The 21,880-nt window shown below is 42.0% G+C and overlaps 1 protein-coding gene across 65 annotated transcripts in view; it reads right to left on the bottom strand.

Moving 5' to 3' along the window:
* Positions 1-431: 431 nt before the first annotated feature.
* Positions 432-21,880, bottom strand: part of LTBP1 (latent transforming growth factor beta binding protein 1) — a 452,557-nt gene continuing 431,108 nt past the window's right edge. For all 65 annotated transcript variants that reach the window (XM_011532853.3, XM_011532857.3, XM_011532861.3 and 62 more), the window contains 3 exons: positions 10,635-10,757; positions 2,659-2,808; positions 432-1,577 (listed from right to left, as the gene is read on the bottom strand). In XM_011532853.3, the coding sequence (XP_011531155.1) occupies positions 1,396-1,577; positions 2,659-2,808; positions 10,635-10,757 (455 nt within the window). In that variant the 3' untranslated portion in view covers positions 432-1,395. The remainder of the gene's footprint in view (positions 1,578-2,658; positions 2,809-10,634; positions 10,758-21,880) is intronic.

Raw genomic sequence — 21,880 nt, 5'->3', positions numbered from 1 at the left:
GGAAGAAGCATGGAAAGGGGCCAGCCTGTAAAATCCTAGCTAGGTCAAGGTTAAACACTGCACTTGGCCTTCAGGTGCCCACTTGGGTCTCTTCCAAGTGAACTTTCCTTTCTTTCCTGCTCTAAAGCCTTTTTAAATCAACTTCCATTTCTGCTCTGAAACTTGCCTGGTCTCTTTTTCTGCCTTATACCCCTCAGTCAAATTCTTCTGAGGAGGCAAGAACTGAGGTTGCTGCAGACCTATATGGATTCGTCACCGGTAACTCAGACACCTTCTATGGGTGACACAAGGACAGCAGTCATACTGGATTAGGGCCATTCCAATGACCTCATTATCCTTAATTACCTCATTAAAGATCCGATCTCCAAATCTAGTCACTTTCTGAAGTATCAGAGGTTAAAATTCCCACATATGAATGTTAGGGGAAACAATTTAGCCCATAACAAGATCTAACAAATTTAATGATTAACTTGTAAAAGACACTACATTAACAGAAGACCACTGGAAAAGATAAAAGTGGGGAGAGTGGGATACAACTTATACACATGTACTCATTGACAATTACTCTCAGGTAGAATTTTTTCTACAAAAATGGTGATTTATTTAACATACAATGGTAGATATATTGGGGATCATCAAATTTTTAAAAATTTTTGTTGGGCTTACTTTACATATTACAATACTAACGTAAGCTTATAAACTCTTCCATTTCAGTGAAGGAAAGGGATCCAATTAACACCTGCTAGCAGCTTGGCTAAGAACGGACATTAAAATCAGACAAAACACTGAAAATATAAAGTACTTTTCTCCAAATGTGTATACAAAGTTTTGGAACAAAATCACTGCCTGCTCCACAGGACAGACAATTTGAATTTCAAAAATGCTCCAGGCCGGGAATTGCATAACCCTGTGTAACAATACTTATAATACAGCTTAACAATATTGTATCGAAGACTTTTTCATTTGAGATTTTTAAAAAACTGAAGTAAAAGAAAAACAGTAGCCAAGGAACTGCACAACCAAAAAATGAAAATTATATAAAATATTTCCACCACTATTTAAATGCCAAATTTAATCAAGCAATAGTAAAAAAACAAAACAACATAATAATACAACCTTCTGTTTAAAATAACAGCACTGTTCCACCTCTCTTCCATTGAATTTTACATATGAACAGACTATATATACTGGTTTTTTAGAGAAATGTCCATTTGGTCTGCCACACCTATCGGGCTCATCCTAAATCCTCTCATTGTCTTCAGAGGACTTGCAATTCCATGCTGTTTCTGTATTTCCAGCCTTCCGGGGTAGGTGCAATGTCTCAAGTATAATACATTTCTCCCTTTTCCTTTACACAGTGCAGAGTATATGGGCTTAGGTTATGTAGATTCTGTTTCACTCCAGGTCACTGTCTTTCTCTAAATTCAAGGCGGTATTCAACGGAGTGCAGTAGTTTGGCTTGTCAGAAGGCACGTAGCCTGGCAGACACAAACACTTGTAGGAACCATCGGTGTTAATGCACTTGGCATTCTTGCAGAGAGACATCCGGTTGTTCAACTCATCGCATTCATTTACATCTGCAATAAGTCAAGCCATGCAGGTAAACAATCTTGGATATTATTCTGTGAGGACACATAACCTGAGGCTTACCTGAGGCCCTTCCCCCGACCACCCCAAGGAAGCTTTCTCGTCATTGCTTCAGTCACAGACAAGACGAAGATGACTTTTTTGAGATCTTAAAGAGGCAGATTATCAGGGAGGTTCTAGAACTTCTTTCACTGTTATCTAGCAAAACATGAGCATTTTGTGAGCTTGACATTTTCTAGTAGAACCTCAAGGAAGTTGGAGGAACTATATTACTTCCAAATTCCTTCCCATAGGTATGGAGGAACTGCTAGATTTGTCAAGAGGAACCAGATACCTACGCAGAGGCCTCTCCATACAGCCTGTCTAAAGCCTTCCATAACATTCACAGACCTCCTTCTACATGAGACCCATTTAGGCTCTCACTCACTTGAAACATCTGTTAAGAAGCTAGGTTACCTATTTTACAGACACACCATGGATTAAAACTAACAAAAGCAAAGTGGGCAAAAGGACTGCTTCAAGATGGAGAAGAGGCCAGGCGTGGTGGCTCACGCCTGTAATCCCAGCACTTTGGGAGGCCAAGGTGGGCGGATCACGAGGTCAGGAGATTGAAACCATCCTGGCTAACACGGTGAAATCCCGTCTCTACTAAAAATACAAAAAAAAAAAAAAAAAAAAATTAGCCGGGTGTGGTGGCGGGTGCCTGTAGTCCCAGCTACTCAGGAGGCTGAGGCAGGAGCATTGCTTGAACCTGGGAGGCAGAAGTTGCAGTGAGTCAAGATCACCCCACTGCACTCCAGCCTGGGCGACAAGAGTAAAACTCCATCTCAAAAAAAAAAAAAAAAAAGAATTGTGGTAAAATACACAGAACATATTTACCATTTTAACCATTTTTAAGTATATAGTCCAGTGGCATTAAGTATATTCATACTGTACTTAATGTACATCTCCAGAACTTTTCTCATCTTCTCAAACTGAAACTCAGCAAATCTATCTTAAATGTTCTCTACTGACTGAGATACGGGGTGTCAGGAAAAAATTAATGTCCCATAAAACACACGTCATTCTTACCGACACAGGTCATCTTGGCCGTATCCAAGTGATACCCATCAAAGCAATCGCAGGTGTAACCTTCCTGGACCCTCACACAGCGACCATTTTCACATCCATTGAGGATGCCGCATTCCTCAGCCTGTAACTCCTCAAAGCTATTTAGAAAACCTGGAAAGGAAAGGGCAGAAGCTAAGTTAGAGCTTCTCAACTTCCTATATCATTTTGTAAATGATATTTAGATGATGGTTCATTTTCCAAATAGACACATATATGTCCATACATATTTCAGACATCTTAAAGTTAGCATTAGAAATACTGAATGTTGCTGTGTAAAATAGCATAAAAATAAAAAACTTGTATATTTTGTGCAGAGTAGCCTCATTTTGAATTCTGATATTCTATGTTAAAATCACATAAAACGAGAAAGCAAGTATGGTTTTTGTTTTTGCTCTTAATTATTAAAAGTGTTCATCCAAAGTTCCAAACTTCGTGAGTTTGCAGTAGGGCAAGTGTCAGACTCTCAGAACAGAACCAACAGAATTCACTATCGGAGTCTAGTAAGCATTTGCTAAGAAGGTCCGTAAGAGTGTGAGGCAATACGTTTTCAGCCGGCGTTTGTAAGACCAGAGAGAAGCAGGCTGGCTCTGCCATGTGTTTGTTTGCTCTGGCTACGGAATGAGCCTTACAAAAGGGCTCCCAGGGGATCAAAGGAAAAATTCAGTAAAAGGGCCTCAAAACATCCTGATGAATGAGAAAGAACATCATACTTGTGTTTAGAAAACCCAAAGTCTGGGCTCATGCCTATAATCCCAGCACTTTGGGAGGCTGAGGCGGGCAGATCGCCTGAGGCCAGGAGTTCAAGACCAGCGTGGCCAACATGGTGAAACCCTGTCTCTACTAAAAATACAGAAAATTAGCCGGGCGTGGTGGTGGACACCTGTAATCCCAGCTACTTGGGAGGCTGAGGCAGAAGAATCGCTTGAGCCTGAGAGGTGGAGGATGCAGTGTGCTGAGATCACGGCCACTGTCCAGCCTGAGCAACAGAGCAGGACTCTGTCAAAAAAACAAAAGACAAAAAACCAAAAAACAAAACAAAACAAAACACACACACACACCAAAAAAAAACAGAACCAAAAGTTTTTTTTTAAGGAAACAAAGAAACTCTTGTTTGGCTCTTTTTATAGTTTAGATCTCTTGAAACCAAGTCAGAGCTAGACTTTAGAGTTTTTGTGATGTAAAAACAATTTAGCCAGGCATCAAGAGTGTTTAGCTCTCATTTTGCAGAGGAAAGTTCTAAACATAAATCCACAGTGACCCAACACACTGTCATGTGGCCTCTCATCTCCTGTCTCTTCCCAATAGTACCACAAAGTAGCTTCAAAAAAAAAAAAAATATATGGCTAGAACTTTCTATCTGGCCTTTGAAGTAATTCTCCAGTGGAACTGCAGGGGGCAGCAGGCAGCAAAATATCATTGCTTATGGAGGGCAATAAGGTCTAACTTGGAGGAATTGGACAAGGATATGGAGTTTGGTCTCCTTGATCACCAAAAAGCAACCAACTTAGCCAGCTTTTTTTTTTTTTTTCTAAACAAGGAAATAAAGACTTACTTGTTACTTCTCTTAACTACAACAAAAAAGAAGTTTCAACAATGACTAAAGTGCCTGAGGTCAACATGAAGACAAATTTGGTCAGAGTTTCTCTTACATTCTAAGATTAGGTGCCCTGAGGGGAGATAGGTGAAGAAGAAACTTTAGAGCATGCCCTTCAGAGAAGAAAGTGGGTTTTAGAGATGACCGAAAAATATACAATAAGTGAATCTTAAATTATCTGTTTGGGTAAGAACAATACACTGGTATTGGGGGACTTGAGTTCCCATTCCCATTTCCCTATGTGTACCTTGTAAACTTGGGCAGAAAGCTTATTTTTCTCACGTATGAAGTAAAAGCACTGAATTTTAGGATCTCTAAAGCCCCACTCAGTTATAGGTTTATTTTGTGGAAATGAACCATGGGATTTGAATCAGAGGAACTCGGTCTTCTGCTCATGCCTGTGACCCTGGCCAAGTCACTTGATTTTGTTGAAACCAGGTTCCTCATTTAAAAATAGAGAAACGATGCTATGTAGAATGGCATACCCAACATTGAACACAATGTCTGCACTCAGTAGAAGTATTTTGTAATGAATGAACACTTTTCTACCTTGTAAAGATTAAATGAGATTTGGCATAAGTTTGGGGGATAAAAAAGAAAATATGGTACATATACACCATGGAATACTAGGCAGCCATAAAAAAGAATGAGATAATGTCTTTTGCAGGAACATGGATGGAGCTGGAGGCCTATCATCCTTAGCAAACTAACGCAGGAACAGAATACCAAATACCACATGTTCTCACTTGTAAGTGGCAGCTAAATGATAAGAACTTATGAATACAAAGAAGGAAACAGCAATGACTTTCTTCACGGAATTGGAAAAAACTACTTTAAAGTTCATATGGAACCAAAAAAGAGCCTGCATTGCCAAGACAATCCTAAGCCAAAAGAACAAAGCTGGAGGCATCATGCTACCTGACTTCAAACTATACTACAAGGCTACAGTAACCAAAACAGCATGATGCTCGTACCAAAACACAGATACAGACCAATGGAACGGAACAGAGCCCTCAGAAATAATACCACACATCTACAACCATCTGATCTTTGACAAATCTGACAAAAACAAGAAATGGGGAAAGGATTTCCTATTTAATAAATGGTGCTATGGTGCTGGGAAAACTGGCTAGCCATATGTAGAAAGCTGAAACTGGATCCCTTCCTTACAAAATTATACAAAAATTAATTCAAGATGGATTAAAGACTTACATGTTAGACCTAAAACCATAAAAACCCTAGAATAAAACCTAGGCAATACCATTCAGGACATAGGCAGGGGCAAGGACTTCATGTCTAAAACACCAAGAGCAATGGCAACAAAAACCAAAATTGACAAATGGGATCTAATTAGACTAAAAAGCTTCTGCATAGCAAAAGAAACTACCATCAGAGTGAACAGGCAACCTACAGAATGGGAGAAAATTTTTACAATCTACCCATCTGACAAAAGGGCTAATATCCAGAATCTACAAAGAACTTAGACAAATTTACAAGAAAAAAAATCAAACAACCCCATCAAAAAGTGGGAGAAGGATATGAACAGACACTTCTCAAAAGAAGACATTTATGCAGCCAAAAGACACATGAAAAAATGCTCATCATCACTGGCCATCAGAGGAATGCAAATCAAAACCACAATGAGATACCATCTCACACCAATTACAATGGCGATCATTAAAAAGTCAGGAAACAACAGGTGCTGGAGAGGATGTGGAGAAATAGGAACACTTTTACACTGTTGGTGGGACTGTAAACTAGTTCAACCATTGTGGAAGACAGTGTGGCGATTCCTCAAGGATCTAGAACTAGAAATACCATTTGACCCAGTCATCCCATTACTGGGTATATACCCAAAGGTTTATAAATCATGCTGCTATAAAGACACATGCACATGTATGCTTACTGTGGCACTATTCACAATAGCAAAGACTTGGAACCAACCCAAATGTCCATCAATAATAGACTGGATTAAGAAAATGTGGCACATATACACCATGGAATGCTATGCAGCCATAAAAAATGATGAGTTCATGTCCTTTGTAGGGACATGGATGAAGCTGAAAACCATCATTCTCAGCAAACTATTGCAAGGACAGAAAACCAAACACCGCATGTTCTCACTCATAGGTGGGAATTGAACAATGAGAACACTTGGACACAGGATGGGGAACATCACACACCAGGGCCTTTCGCGGGGTTGGGGGAGGGGGGAGGGATAGCTTTAGGAGATATACCTAATGTAAATGATGAGTTAATGGGTGCAGCACACCGACATGACACATGTATACATATGTAACAAAACTGCACGTTGTGCACATGTACCCTAAAACTTAAAGTATAATTTAAAAAATTTAAAAAAAGAACTTACTCATATAACCAAATACCACAAAAAAAAAAAAAAAAAAAAAAAAAGAAGAAGAAGGAAACAACAGACACTAGTGGAGGGTGGGAGGAGGGAAGCAGAAAAGGTAATAACTATTGGGTACTGGGCTTCACACCTAGGTGATGTAATAATCTGTACCACTAACCCCCATGACATGTTGCCTATGTAACAAACCTTTATATGTACCCCTGAACCTAAAAGTTAAAAAAATTTGTACCATAAAAAAAAAATTGAGTAATACATCCATGGCAGGCCCATTTTAAAACTTTAAAGGAGAACAAGAGTCCCAGCTACTCAGGAGGCTGAGGCAGGAGAATCTCCTCAGCTCATGGGGTGAAGACCAGCCTGGGCAATATAGTGAGACCCCAATTTAAAAAAAAAAAAAAGTGACACCACATACTCAAAGCCAGTTAAGAAACACACAAAATAAAGACTTAATCTACGACAATATTTTCAGATCCCATGTATCACAGCAAAATGATTTCTACTTCATATCTAATACCTTTTTTATTATTACAGAAATTAAAACATAAAAAGTAAAACTTGAAACTCCCCACACATCAGGCAGGCTCCCCAAAATACTTCTGCAGGACTCTAAAACAGGTCAGGACACTACAGTCTCTGGTCCAAATCTGGCCTGCTACCTATTTTTGTAAATAAACCCAGCCACGCCCATTTGCTGCTGTGCTATCTAGGGCTGCTTTTGTGAAACTACAGTAGAGTTGAATACCTACAACAGAAACCACATGACCTGCAAAGCCTACAAATTTTACCATCTGGGCTCGGTGCGGTGTCTCACACCTTTAATCCCAGCACTTTGGAAGGCCAAGGCAGGTGGATCACAAGGTTAGGAGTTCAAGACCACCCTGGCCAACGTGGTGAAACTCCATCTCTACTAAAAATGCAAAAATTAGTCGGGCATGGTGGTGCATGCCTATAATCCCAGGGCTACTCAGGAGGCTGAGGCAGGACAATCACTTGAACCCAGGAAGTGGAGGTTGCAGTGAGCCAAGATTGCACCGTTGCACTCCAGCCTATGCAAGAGAGGAAGACTCTGTCTCAAAAAAGAAAAAAAAAAAATACTACCTGGCCCTTATAAAGGGCAAATGTTTGCCTATTCTCTGCTCAAGCAAATTCCAGTTTTAGAAGTACTGCTCTCCCTAAAGGTAACAGAGATGGTGAACCATAAAGGCGATAAGAAACCTCACTCAGCCTCCGTCTATGTTACTATCTACCCAACACAATCATTTTTGCAGCAGGCTCCAAAAGCCCTTGCTGGAGGTCAGAAAACTGGCTGGGAAGGGGGAAATATTTCTCTGCAACTTGTAAGAAATGTAAAGGCCATTACATCGTCCAAGCTGGAGGTCTTGGAACTGCATCTCAATTTCCTATGTTGCTAAATAAGAGATTGATGTGACACCAACATGTTTATTTCTTAACATGTGTAGTTAATTAAAAAAAAGAGCTTTAAAGCAATGCCAGCATTAAAAAGAAGGTACATAAGCCAGACATTTCAACATGAAAATTCCTGGAATCCAAACTATAATGCCATAGAGGCTTCTGACTTTTAGACTCTCAGGACCCATCAGTGCCTGGGATTTTGGTTCTCCATTTGTCCTGGGGTTACTGAGGTTTCAGTGCTTTTCATAATCCCAGGCTCTTGCTTACATCTAAGAACAGAGTTATTGAGGAGGTCTAGGGAGGAAAGCTGTAAGCCACGGGATTGTCAGAGTTGCATATAGACTTAACCTGGTATTCCTGATTAATGGGGCAAGCTGGGCTTTCTTTCAACCTTAATAATTCTTCTCCCTTCCTTTTTTCTTAAGTAAACGTTTACTGACCCGTAACATATACAGAGAAGCATCAAACCCTAAGTGCACAGTCTTGTAGCTGTGAGTGCATTCTGGTCCATTTCATAAAGAGCTGCATGGTTATGTGCTGTGGATGAAAAGAAAGAGTGTTGTTCATCTATGGTGTTAGGAGTCAGGATAGTGGTTACCCTAGGGAGGGGGGTGGGAAAAGGCACCAGGGGCCTTCTGGAGGCTGGCACTGCTCCTGGCCTGGGTGGGAGTTACACAGGCGTGTGTTAAGCAGCCTAGCTGGATTAATAGAATGTTCTTATCATGGACATTTTAAAACATTTTTAATTCTACCAGATGATCAATACACTACATCCTTCAAAAAAAAAAAGGTGGAGGGGAAGGAAGGACAAGGAGGGAATGAAGAAGGGAGAGAAAGGGAAAAGAGAAAGAGAAGAGAAGGAAAAAAAAAATAAAAGCTCTTGATGCAGAACTGAAATAGATCCTAAATTCAGCTAGAAATCTCATGCTGTTGCCCCAGAACTGGGTCCTGGCTAGGACGCTTCGTGCACAGGTGACAGGGCCCAGGACAGAAAAAAGCTTCACTGCATTTTTCTCTAAAGTCCTAAGTCAAACTCCTCGGTCGGCAGCAATTACCTATCTTAAAAATGTGGTGCAGGCCAGGCATGGTGGCTCACACCTATAAGCACTTTGGGAGGCCGAGGCGGATGAATCACTTGAGTCCAGGAGTTCGAGACCAGCCTGGACAACATGGTGAAACCCCCCATCTCTACGGAAAAAATACAAAAATTAGCTGCACATAGTGGCACGTGCCTGTAGTCCCAGCTTCTCGGGAGACTGGGGTGGGAGGATCGCTTGAGCCCAGGAGGCAGAGTTGCAGTGAGCTGTGATCATGGCACTGCACTCCAGCCTGGGCAACAGAGCGAGACCCTATCTCAAAAAAAAAAAAATTTGTGGTGAAGCTACACGTGAGGATGGCCCCTCTGTGAGCTGTGGACGAGGCTCTCAAAATGGGCGTTTTCCTGTTCTCGTTCTTGAAGTGAGACTATCTACTATCTACTAATATTTCATTGTGGACCTCCTGCTGTTTCAGACTTCAAATTGTCTGTATTTGAAAAGTCTGATTTGAGCTTGTGTGTTTGTAGGCTTCCTCACACAACATTTACGTTCTAAAGGGGATCACAATTTGCAGATACACACTCCCACCTCCCCCATGAAAGCTGTGCTCACTAATCCAGGAAAAGTTGGCACACATTATTTCTTACTCCATAAATCCCCTCACCAATGTATTTTAAAAAGTCATTTCTGACCAAAAGGGCAATTCTTCTCTTACCTCCTACTCTAAAACACTTATAATAATGATCAACTTGTACAGTTAACATTTGCATTTCCCTGTAGGAAAAAAAGGCTGCAATACAACTGGGCTCTCATGGAAACCTTGGCCCTCAAACTAGTCCACCACTTAAAGAGAAGAGAAATGATTTTGTTATAGAAATTATAATGATAGGCAGGGCACGGTGACTCATGCCTGTAATCCCAGCACTTTGGGAGGCCAAGATGGATGGATTACAAGGTCAGGAGTTCAAGAAGAGCCTGACCAACATGGTGAAACCCAGTCTCTACTAACAATACAAAATTTAGCCGGGCATGGTGGTGCGTGCCTGCAATCCCAGCTACTTGGGAGGCTGAGGCAGCAGAATCGCTTGAATCCGGGAGGTGGAGGTTGCAGTGAGCTGAGATCGTGCCACTGCACTCCAGCCTGGGTGACACAGCGAGACTCCATCTCAAAACTTTAAGAAAAGTAAATATAACAGTATCCCCACCAGCAAGACTATTCATCAAATGCAATGGTTCTTTTTGTTTGTTTTGAGATAGGGTCTCATTGTGTTGCCCAGGCTGGAGTGCAGTGGTGTGATCTCGGCTCACGAATGATGCAGTGGTTCTTAGACTCACCCACGCAGAAGGACTGCCCTTGTGAAACAAAGATGGCTGGGTCCCACCCTAGACTTTCTGACCAGCAGGTCTGGGGTGGGACCAGAAATGCTGCATTGCTAACAAGTTGCCATTACATTTTGAGGACCACTGATTAATCTTCAACCACAACTTAGTATCAAAGGAACAAGGTTATTTTGCTTACGGTCTTGGATGAAGTAGGGATCGGCTTCTGGAGTATACTGTTCACTGAAGTCAACCAAGGCGTCCCGTCCATATGGCTGCCGGCGTCCCGTCACGGGGATGTTACACAGCTGAGCATAGTCATCTAAGGAGTAGACAAGCAGCATGAGGCCCCACCACTGTTAGCTCGCACCTGCCCCACCCCCTCGCAGCTCAGAGCAACGGGAATCTGCCAGCACACCCTTCCACGTGTGTCTCCATCTCCTGCGTACCACTGAGCCTGGAAAGTGTCTGAATATCTTTTGATGGGAATTTTATGCATCCACGTACAACGACTGCTGTACAGCATAATTAAGGTTCCAAATTGAAGATCAAAAATATTAGCTTAACAGTGGGTAGACCACATCCCAGAGCAGTAAAGGGCTGACAAAACGGAGCCATCTGAGAGTGCTTCAGGCCTTTTGGAAGGATGGCTTTATCTAAAGCCATCAAGAGTTATCATCAAAAACATTTTTAAAGTAGAAAGTAGTCATTCTGACAGAGAGGTGCTTTTTCGCTCTCTAGAGACAGGAATAAATATATCTCTGGTGTCCAAAAATGATACAGCACCAGGCAAGGATGCTGCTTAAATTTAGTAGTCACGATTATAACTCTACAGTCTCTATGGATAGCATTATAGCTATGCTGAGAGTCATAATAATCACGATAATAAGAACAGCCGTGGTAGTGGTAATAACAACAGCTACCAGTCATATAATGCTTGCTCTATGCCAGATACTGTTCTAAGCACTTAATACACATCGATGCACTAAAAGACGCACACCATCCTATGTTCTACCATCTCCATTTTACCAGTGAGGAAACAAAAGCACAGAGAGGTTACATGACAGCTGCCATGTGGCAGAACCTGATTTGAAGTCAGAAACGAAGCTCCAGAGTGTACAGTTTTCACATTTGTCTCCCCTGCAATGATCTCAGCTCCTTTGGAATTCCTGTCCTTACCATCTCTGTACCCCAGCTAGACCCATCTGTGGTTTTCACCTCCTGAGGCCATATTGCTGTTCCACACTGGGTCAGCCCCACGGCCCCCTGACTCCTAGACTCCCCTTTACTCCTCCCCCAAGGACCCACCAGTGCACAGGATTTTGGTTCTCCATTTGTCCCGGGGTTACTGAGGTTTCAATGCTTTTCATGATCCCAGGCTCTTGTCTACATTTAAGAACAGAGTTATTGAGAAGGTCTAGGGAGGAAAGCTGTAGAAAGGACAGCCTCATGTTCTGAGTATGTTCCACAAAATACACTTCCCAAAGATACATCTAGCAGTTGGTGAAATTCTGGGGCTCCACGGATGTCAACAGCTCTGTTAGGACTGTGAGGTGCAGGCAGGCTACAGGCCCCAGGACCAGATGGACATGAGTGGGGCAGTCACACAAGGCAATGGCCACACTTGCCTAGAATTTTCCTCTATTGTCATGCAAGGCAATGGCCACACTTGCCTGGAATTTTCCTCTATTGTCGCGCAAGGCAATGGCCACGTTTGCCTGGAATTTTCCCCTATTGTGTTTATTCTTGCAACATACAAAAAAAAAAAACCCCACCAAGGCAATACTGTGAACCCTGAAGGCTTTCTTTTATCAGCTCCTACTTAAATGACTGGAGGAATGAGGGTGACGAATCAAAGGTGTGTGTGTATGCATGTGCACACGTGCACACACACATTCTGAGAACTGCCCAAAGCAAGCGTGAGGCCAGAAAAGACCTTGAACCACTGGATAGGGTAGGATTCTGGCTGCCCCTGTCTAAAATTCTCCTTATGTGGAAGCATTCCAGGAACAACATCCAGACTCCAGGCGTCCCAGCACTTTTGCATGAAACCATTCTGTGTGAAATATTAATTTCATTAAGGAAATAGCCGAACCTGGAAAAAGATTCTTGACTCAAAAGAAAAGAACTACTTCAAACAGAGAGAGCACAAATGGCTGTCAGTTCTGCTTAAAGTTTGAAAACGCAGAATTAAGGATTTCTTTGCGAGAGCAAGATTGCTGAAATGTTTACAAGTTTCAAGAGCTGAGGTCATCTTCTCCCATTATTTTTTATATACATTTGTTGTACATCTGAAAGACAGACTTGTTCCATATTTTATATTGAAGCCACAGTTGTGATCTAGAGGAGATGTTAAAAATGAATTAATTCTGGTACTTATTTTTAAAGAAACTGTCGGCCGGGCATGGTGGCTCATGACGCAGGTCAAGGTGGGTGGATCACGAGATCAAGAGATGGAGACTATCCTGGCCAACATGGTGAAACCCTGTCTCTACTAAAAATACAAAATTAGCTGGGCATGGTGGCACGTACCTATAGTCCCAGCTACTCAGGAGGCTGAGGCAGGAGAATCGCTTGAACCTAGGAGGCAGAGGTTGCAGTGAGCCGAAATTGCACCACTGCACTCCAGCCTGGGTGATAGAGCGAGACTCCGTCTCAAAAAAAAAAAAAAAAAAAAAAGGGTCTTGCTCTGCCACCCATGCTGGAATGCAGTGGCACCATTGTGGTATCGTGGTTCACTGCAGCCTCAAACTCCTGGGCTCAAGCGATCCTTTCACCTCAGCCTCCTGAGTAGTTGGAACTACAGGCATGAGCTACCAAACCTGGCTAATTTTTGTTATTTTTTGTAGAGACAGGGTCTCACAATGTTGCCCAAGCTGGTCTCAACTTCTAGGCTCAAGCGATCCTATCACCTTGGCCTCCCTAAGTGCTGGGATTACAGGTGCGAGCTGCCGTGCTTGGCCAAGGTACTTATTTTATAAAGTGAAATCCAGAGATGGCTGAGCATCCTGCTGATGCCTGTTGGCTGTCAGAGAAGCCTTGCTGAGACTTGAGGTCCGGGGATGTCGAATGCCATGATCAGGGGCTGGCCAGGGCAGCCACCTTCAATCCAGTGCACTCCCCTAGACATGCTTCCTCCACCAAAGAAATGAGATGGGCTTGAGTCTCTAAGCTGTCACTCTACAGCAACGCCAGAGGAAAGGACTGAAGGTGAGGGTGAAGAGGAAGGGCAGGCTCCTGTTCCTATGCAATGTTTAGGAACAGCTCCCTGCAAAAGGTGGACCTGAACTGAAACTAAGTAGGTATGTAGGAATTATGTTGCAGAATTTTGGATTAGTTTTTAAAAGCACGTACCCAAAGGCATCAAGAAAGAAAACTAAGTTGTTTTTTGGAACTACCAAATGGTTCCTAAAGAAGTCTTCTGACTAGACCAAGGCTAGGGAAGCGGGCAGTGGAGGGTAATGGGTTGGGGGAGGTACTTCTGGGATATTCCACATCCTCCTTCCTTTCCTTTCTTCCCCTGCCATGCGTTTTTTCCTCTTAAAATGCTAGAGCGTGTTGCCCTTTGCTGCTTCACTTTTCTCTAACACATTCACATTCCAAGCTCCAAGACAGTTTTGGTCAGTGATCAAAACATCCTTTCTGCACCATGTCTTCTCTTCTGTATCTGAAGATGTGCTAAAGTCCCGTCATCACCAGGAAATGTATTTTGAATTATTTTTCTGGGAGCCTGCACAGGTCTGTCCTAATCCATCCACGCCGCCCTTCCCATCATGCACATCTGCCCTGATTCTTGGCCAGGATCGTGGGGTAATGGGAAGAACATGGGCTTCAGAGGTGGAAGCTGAGGCTCAAGTCCTGACTGCACCACTTACTTCCCAGCTTAGCAGTTTTGGGCAAGCCTCAGTTTCCACATCTGTAACACAGGAACAAGAATTCTTGTTTGACTACATCTGTGTTACTGATATGTAAAAAAATGAGATAATGTTGTGAAACTATTTTAAAAATTTGAAGCATCAAGAAAATGGAGAATCCAATTTTTTCCTGTGGGTGACATCACTAAGTCCCTAGTGAACATTTGGAAATAAATGAAGTTTTTTTTAAAGACAGTATTATAATGAGTGAGTGATTTACATTTTAATGTTAACAAAACGTAAAAGCAGTGATCAACAGGCAAATAATTGTGCAGTAAAGAGCAATGGAAGAACGGTCCACAGGTGTTTTTAAATCTTGTTTCAAGACTATTTGGAGTTTTTAAATAGGTAGAGGGAAACTAGCTCAGTAAATAGAGAAGTCTTCCTAGACTTCCTCTCAAACAAGGCACAAAACTGTTGACTGCCTTGGTAAATTTCATTACTTGGTTGTGCAGTGATAAAGTATGAACAATAGTACATTTTAACATTAGATCATCAGAACTCAAAGTACAGGGGAAAAACTGATGTCCAAGAATTTTTAATATAGGCCTAAATCAGAAATGTCTTACATAGAGAATAAGTTAACAGAAGAGAATAGGTTTATAGAAGTGGATTTCACCATCTTTCAGGAAAGCAATGGAAATATCAGGACTTGGGCAAGTCATCCTCTTTAGGATCTCGGTACAGGCAAATTTCTAGCATGTGCTGGGCCTCTGGGCACCCCAAGCCACAAGCAGAACCCATTACAGCTTGGAGGTGCTTGGCCTTGGTTATCTCGATGACTAGGTCACTGCTACAGTCCAGCTTGGGGAACTGCATGAACTGTGGTTGGCTGAGAGTACAGAGCCCAAGAATAGCAGATCCCTAAACTATTTCCATAACTTCCCACAAGAAACTCTTGGCTGCTACTTTATCCAGCTCAACATGTGGAGATGAACACATTTTCTGTCCTTAGAATCTTTCTCTTTCTCCAAAACACCCTTGACTTCTGTGCATCAAGAACAATAGTCACCTCCTTGTCTGGGGCTCGGTGCAAAGGAAAAGTTTTTGCTTAGCAGGGCTTGCCCTGAGAGGTGCACTTTGGAGGCAATCCCATTTGAGACCCCATACAATGTGTCCATCTGGAATCTAGCCAAATACCAATGTGAAATGAACAGGAAATGGAAACAGTCACACCTCAAAGACCCTCCCCGACCCACTGCATTCCCCATGCCCCAAGCGCAAATGCTTAGCTCTTGATCAAAGCTATGAAAGATACATAAGGGATGCTATGGGACGCCGTCGCTAAGTAGTCTAAACAAGATCCAGGCCATTGATCACATTAATTTCCCTGGCATGGCTGATTCATATGACAAATGCTGTTGCTTTTCATCTTAAATTGAAAAAAGAAAAGGTTTAAAAATTATCCCCTGGAGCCTGTGGGTGTGGGGCCCCTGCTGTTGGCAGCAATGGAAGGAACATTACCATATCCTTACTATAAGAAATCTCCATTCTTGATGACAGACACATGTGCAGGGCAGTCTGGACAGTCACATGTCACAATGCTACCCTGGCATGTGAGGAGACCAGGAGGTAAAGTTTTAGTTCTGACTGAGGCAAATTAAATTCAGCTGTTTTTAGAAATGGTAGAGAGGTTGCAATTTCGTTTTGCACACATCAGGGCTAAAAATGCAACGCTCTGAAGTTTGAACTGTGTTATTTTCAAATATAAGAGAAACAAGGACCAATTTTCATGCATTAAGAAAAACAGGTCAGGGCTGGGCGCAGTGGCTCACGCCTGTAATCCCAGCACTTTGGGAGGCTGAGGTGGGCAGATCACTTGAGCCCAGGAGTTTGAGACCAGCCTGGGCAACATGGTGAAACTCTGTCTCCACAAAAAAATATTCAAAAATTAGCTGGGCATAGCGGCACACTGAGGCTAGAGGATCATCTGAGCCCAGATAAGTCCAGGCTGCAGTGAGCTGTGATTGTGCCACTGCACTCCAGCCTGAGCAGAGTGAGACCCTATCTAAAAAAAGAAAGAAAAGAAAAAAAAGAGAAAAAGAAGCAGAAAAGTGGGTCACATGCTACTACAATTTCTAGACCAGGTATTTTTCTTACAGGTTTAAACATGGATTAACGACAATGGTGTTTAAAACACACAACTAGGAAACAGAGGGAGGAGATAAAGAGAATGAAATGACTGTCTCCTCCAGTGACTGATAAGCCAGCATTGTAATAGACACTTTTTTATTCCCCTGAGACGGAGTCTCGCTCTGTCACCCAGGATGGAGTGCAGTGGCGCAATCTCGGTTCACTGCAATCTCCACCTCCCAGATTCGAGTGATTCTCCTGCCTCAGCCTCCCGAGTAGCTGGGACTACAGATGTGCGCCACCATGCCCGGCTAATTTTATATTTTTAGTAGAGACGGGGTTTCAGTATGTTGGCCAGGCTGGTCTTGAGCTCCTGACCTCGTGATCTGCCTGCCTCGGCCTCCCAAAGTGCTGGGATTACAGGCGTGAGCCACTGCGCCCAGCCAATGGGCACTTTTCTTTAAATGAAATTAGTAAAAGTTATGAAATTAGAAAAACGGTGGCCATTTACAGAACATTCCACTCTGTACCAGTAAAGAAAGGTGGAAGAGAGACCTCCTTGGGTATTGCCACAATACTGTGAGACTGGATGTCTGCCTGGGTGTCTGTCCTGCTCTTTATCCCGGAATACATTACTGCTTACAGTCTCTGGTGAACAGGCAGCAACCCTCCTTCCCTAAAACTAAAATATGTGGTGTTGTGATGCAAAACTGGATACACTGCAAACACCTGGAATCCAAAGACTTGGGTTCTAGTCCTTGTTTCTCCACTTCCTAGTTTCTTGGTCTGGACACGGTTCTTTTAGCCTTAGTTTCTCCATTTATTGCACGGAATTAAGGTACTCTTTGCCTTAGCTCTATTAAAAGTGATTCATTCATTGCTTCATTACGGACAGGGTGGGACCTGAGAGTACGGAAAGATGTGATGATAGTCAATCAGGGCACATGCAATAACTTATCAGGATCACAGAGACGATGACTAAAGTCATCCTGGAAGAGCTGGGAAAGGCTTCAGCTTGAAAACACCATCTGTAGCCAGGAGGTTAACCAGGTAGAAGAGGAAGGAAGGTAACTCAGAGAGAGTCATAAGCATGTATAATAGATAAGAAAGCATTAGGGAAGCTAGACTGGGCACCGTGGCTCACGCCTATAATCCCAGCACTTTGGGAGCCCGAGGCGGGTGGATCACCTACAGTCAGGAGTTCGAGAGCAGCCTGAACAATATGGTGAAACCCCGTCTCTACCAAAAATACAAAAATTAGCCAGGCGTGGTGGCGTGCACCTGTAGTCCCAGCTACCTGGGAGGCTGAGACAGGAGAATTGCTTGAACTCGGGAGGTGGAGGTTGCAGTGAACCGAGATCGCACCACTGCACTCCAGCCTGGGCAACAGAGCGAGACTCTGTCTCAAAAAAAAAAAAAAAAAAAAAAAAAAAAAAAAAAAAAAGAAGCAGTAGGGCGCTAACTGCTGTAGATGCAGGCTACTGAACAATTAAAAACAAGAGAGTTAGCTAACACGCACTATTAAGTTCCTACGCACCAGACACTACTTTTGCATACACTGTTTCATTTAAAACTCAGAACTCTATGAAATAATTGTAATTAGCTCCTTTTGTTTCCAATAAGAAAACTACACTTTTTAATAGCATAACTTGCCTTGCCCAAGGTCAGGTGAGGGATTTGAACCCAAAGTGGTCTATCTGCCAAACCATGTTCTTTCTACTCCCCAGCTGTCCTTTTGAAACCCTGGGAAAAAAATTATTAAATACACTCCCTAGACCTTAAGCATCAGGTAAGCACTTAGTTCAGCAATAAGCATTTGTGACTAAAATTCCAGGGAGAGTAATAACCATGAATGCTGATGAGCTCAGCTCCACCAGGGGCAGCTCCATCATTAGCAGGATTTATGTTTATTGAATTTGCTCGATTTATTAGGTGAAAGAGATCAAATTGCTTAATGTTCAATTAAATTGTACTTGTCGAGGACAGGGAAGTAATGAAGTCTAAAGTCTTGGCAAGGTTTATATTCTGTGGGACTCCTGTAAATGTTAATACTCTAAGGAGACTCACGGGCCATAGACCAACCACGTTCTCCCCACTCCCAACCTTCACCTAATGTTACCCTCCTCATTTTAGTTACTCCCAGAGTTTCCCAACAGACTGCTGTTTATTTAGCAAGACAAAATGAAAAAAGAGATTTGTTGGGTAGAAATGCCAAAAAAATAGTGGTTCCTTTGCATTTTAAAACCTGGATCCAAACATTTATACTACTGTAATAGTATTAAATTATGCCACACACAATAACCTTAAAATAATGATTGCCAATGTATCTGGGGCATAGGAAATATATTAAGTCTTACATCCAAGCAATTTCATAGGAAATCAGGAATGAGGCTTCTAAAATTGATAAGAGACAAGACTGAACAACACAATAAACAAAGAGGCAAATGAAAAGAGTGTTCAGCATGTTAAATTTCCAAACTGATCTACTTCATATTTTTTCAGCTGCAAGGACAGGTAAACCACTTCATTTCCCCTTTCCTGCTCTTTAAATACCACTCTGAAGCAACAATCTGACAAGCTGAAATTTTTTTTTTAAGTTATACATACAAAGAACTTTTTTTCTTCATTAACCAAGTAAGAATTGTTTAAAAACAGGAACTAAGCATGTGCTTAAGAATAAAGGGGAGGTTGCATTACATCGTCAACGTAGTAAATGCCACTAAATTGTTCACTTTAGAGTGCTTAATTTCATGTTCTGTGAAGTTCACTGCAATTTTTAAAAAGTCAAGAGAAACAAAAAATACAGGAGGGGAAAATATTTAATATGTTAACTCTGGAATTCAACTAACTTTAACTGGCAAAATGAGGCAATAAGACTAGATGATCTCGAAGGTCCTTTCTAGCTTGCATATTCTATGATTTTAAACAGAAAACATTCTTTTTTTTTTAAAGACGGAGTTTCACTCTTGTCCCCCAAGCTAGAGTTCAATGGCGTGATCTCAGCTCACAGCAGCCTCTGCTTCCTGGGTTCAAGTGATTCTCCTGCCTCAGAAGGCGTGTGCCATCACGCCCAGCTAATTTTTTTTTTTTTTTTGTATTTTTTTAGTAGAAACAGAGTTTCACCACGTTGGCCAGGCTGGTCTCAAACTCCTGACCTCAGGTGATCCACCCGCTTTGACCTCCCAAAGTGCTGGGATTACAGGTGTGAGCCACTGCATCTGGCCTGAGCAGAAAACATTCTTATCATGGGCTGCAAAACTCTTGGAAAGACAATTTGTCTTTGAAACCTGTGGCTGTAATATAAGGTAATCACCACTAGATGACGCTGTTACCTGCAGGTGGTGCCCATCTAGATATTTTTCAGAATGATGACAAACATGTAATTTAACAAACTGTAAGCGTGGACATCTAATCTTCCCATGTATTATTTTGCTGAGGAAACTGAAGTTTACAGAAATTTTATGATATTCCAAAGGTCAAGCCAGGATAAATTTTGTTTTCTTTTACTAAAAGTAATAAGCTATTAAATTATAAAGAAAATTGTGTTTTAACGTATTTTAATCTTGCTTATTTTTTTAAAGCTTCATAGCAGAGAAAGCTCTTCTAATATTTAAAACTCTCTTAATATTCAGAAGTTCAGATCTCAAGGTTCTGAATAACAAAGATATACCACTATCCATTAACATTATTGGAAGAGCAAGTTCTAATCAATGTAATATGAAAATAACACTAAACATAGTCAATGACTAGTCATGAAAATGTATTTCATTCAATAACAGGAAGTAAGACATCACTGCAAAGTAAAAGATGGACTATCTTGAAATCCTGATTCTGTTTTATGATTTCTTTGTATTCTGCCATTTACTTCAATCTGAGATGACCCTCCTCTTTCCTTCCCCTCTGGATCTGTTCACTATCAGATACAGTCCTAGCAACTTCTGCCTCTGGCAGTGATTTCTTTGGAAGGGGCTCACAGATTACCACATGAATGCATTAAAAGTAATGGCAGGGCCGGGCACGGTGGCTCATGCCTATGAATCCCAGCACTTTGGGAGGCCGAGGTGGGTGGATCACAACGTCAGGAGATTGAGACCATCCTGGCTAACAAGGTAAAACCCTCTCTCTAATAAAAATACAAAAAATTAGCTGGGCATGGTGGCAGGCACCTGTAGTCCCAGCTCCTCAGGAGGCTGAGGCAGGAGAATTGCTTGAACCTGGGAGGCGGAGCTTGCAGTGAGCCAAGATTGCACCACTGCACTCCAGCCTGGGCAACAGAATGAGACTCTGTCTTGGAAAAAGAAAAAAAAAAAAAAAAAAAAAAAGCAATGGCAAAAACTGAAATTACTTTTGCACCAACCTAGTATTTTCTTGAAATGAGCAGTGTACAATCAGCACAACTGCTCAAAACAGCTCAGCCTGCCACTGAGACTTGAAGCCCAGAAGGAAGCATAAAGAAGGCTTTGTTGTGTCAGAAGCCCTCCCAATGAGCTAATGTTTTGTAATCTGCTTCTTTCTTAAGGTAGTGGCTACTGATGCTTAGCAGAACAATTACTTTCTAGCTTCTGCTCCCTGCAGATTTGTAAATACAAGAACCTGGTCATTCTAAGAACTTTCTAGATGTTTTTCTCCCAATCATAAGGGGCACAATCTGTCTGCGGCATAAAAGGAGAATAAAATTTACTTCATCCCTCCTCTGCCCGGCTTGCCTGCTCTGGCCATGAGGTCACTGTTTAACAGACATGGGCAGTCAGCAGCTTTGTTCTAGCCATAGTTGTATTATTAGGTTCGTTAAGAAGAGGTCAAAAGAAATTCAAACGTTAGTTGAATTCAAAACCTCAAACTTAGAACAGTGCTTAAGCAATTATGCACAGTGATTTTCTCAAAGTCAGACTCATCACAGTTCATGCTTCTTAGAGTATGCTTCAACTAGCCCTATTTTCAAAAGGAAAAAAAGAAGAGCAAATTTTATTTAAAAGATGTGAAAGTATGCTGGGCGTGGTGACTCACGCCTGTAATCCTAGCACTTTGGGAGGCTGAGGCGGGTGGATTGCCTGAGCTCAGGAGTTTGAAACCAGCCTGGGCAACATGGTGAAACCCCATTTCTACTAAAATAATAATAAAAAATATTAGCCAGGTGTGGTGGTGTGAGCCTGTAGTCCCAGCTACTCGGGAGGCTGTGGCAGGTGAATCGCTTGAACCCAGGAGGCAGAAGTTTCAGTGAGCCGAGATCGTGCCAGTGCACTCCAGCCTGGGCAACAGAGCGAGACTCTGTCTCCAAAACAAACAAACAAACAAAACACACACACACACACACACACACACACACACACACATATATATATATATGAAAGTAAAATGTTCACTAGACCAAATCATTTAGTATCATACTGAATGGGCGATTCTAGAAAACGGAATGCCTATTCATAATCTCTGATTTCACAGGAGAAAGGTAAAACTG

Source organism: Homo sapiens, chromosome 2, assembly GCF_000001405.40.
Source record: "Homo sapiens chromosome 2, GRCh38.p14 Primary Assembly".
Taxonomy (NCBI): Eukaryota; Metazoa; Chordata; class Mammalia; order Primates; family Hominidae; genus Homo; species Homo sapiens.
This window is presented reverse-complemented; position numbering and strand designations above follow the sequence as displayed.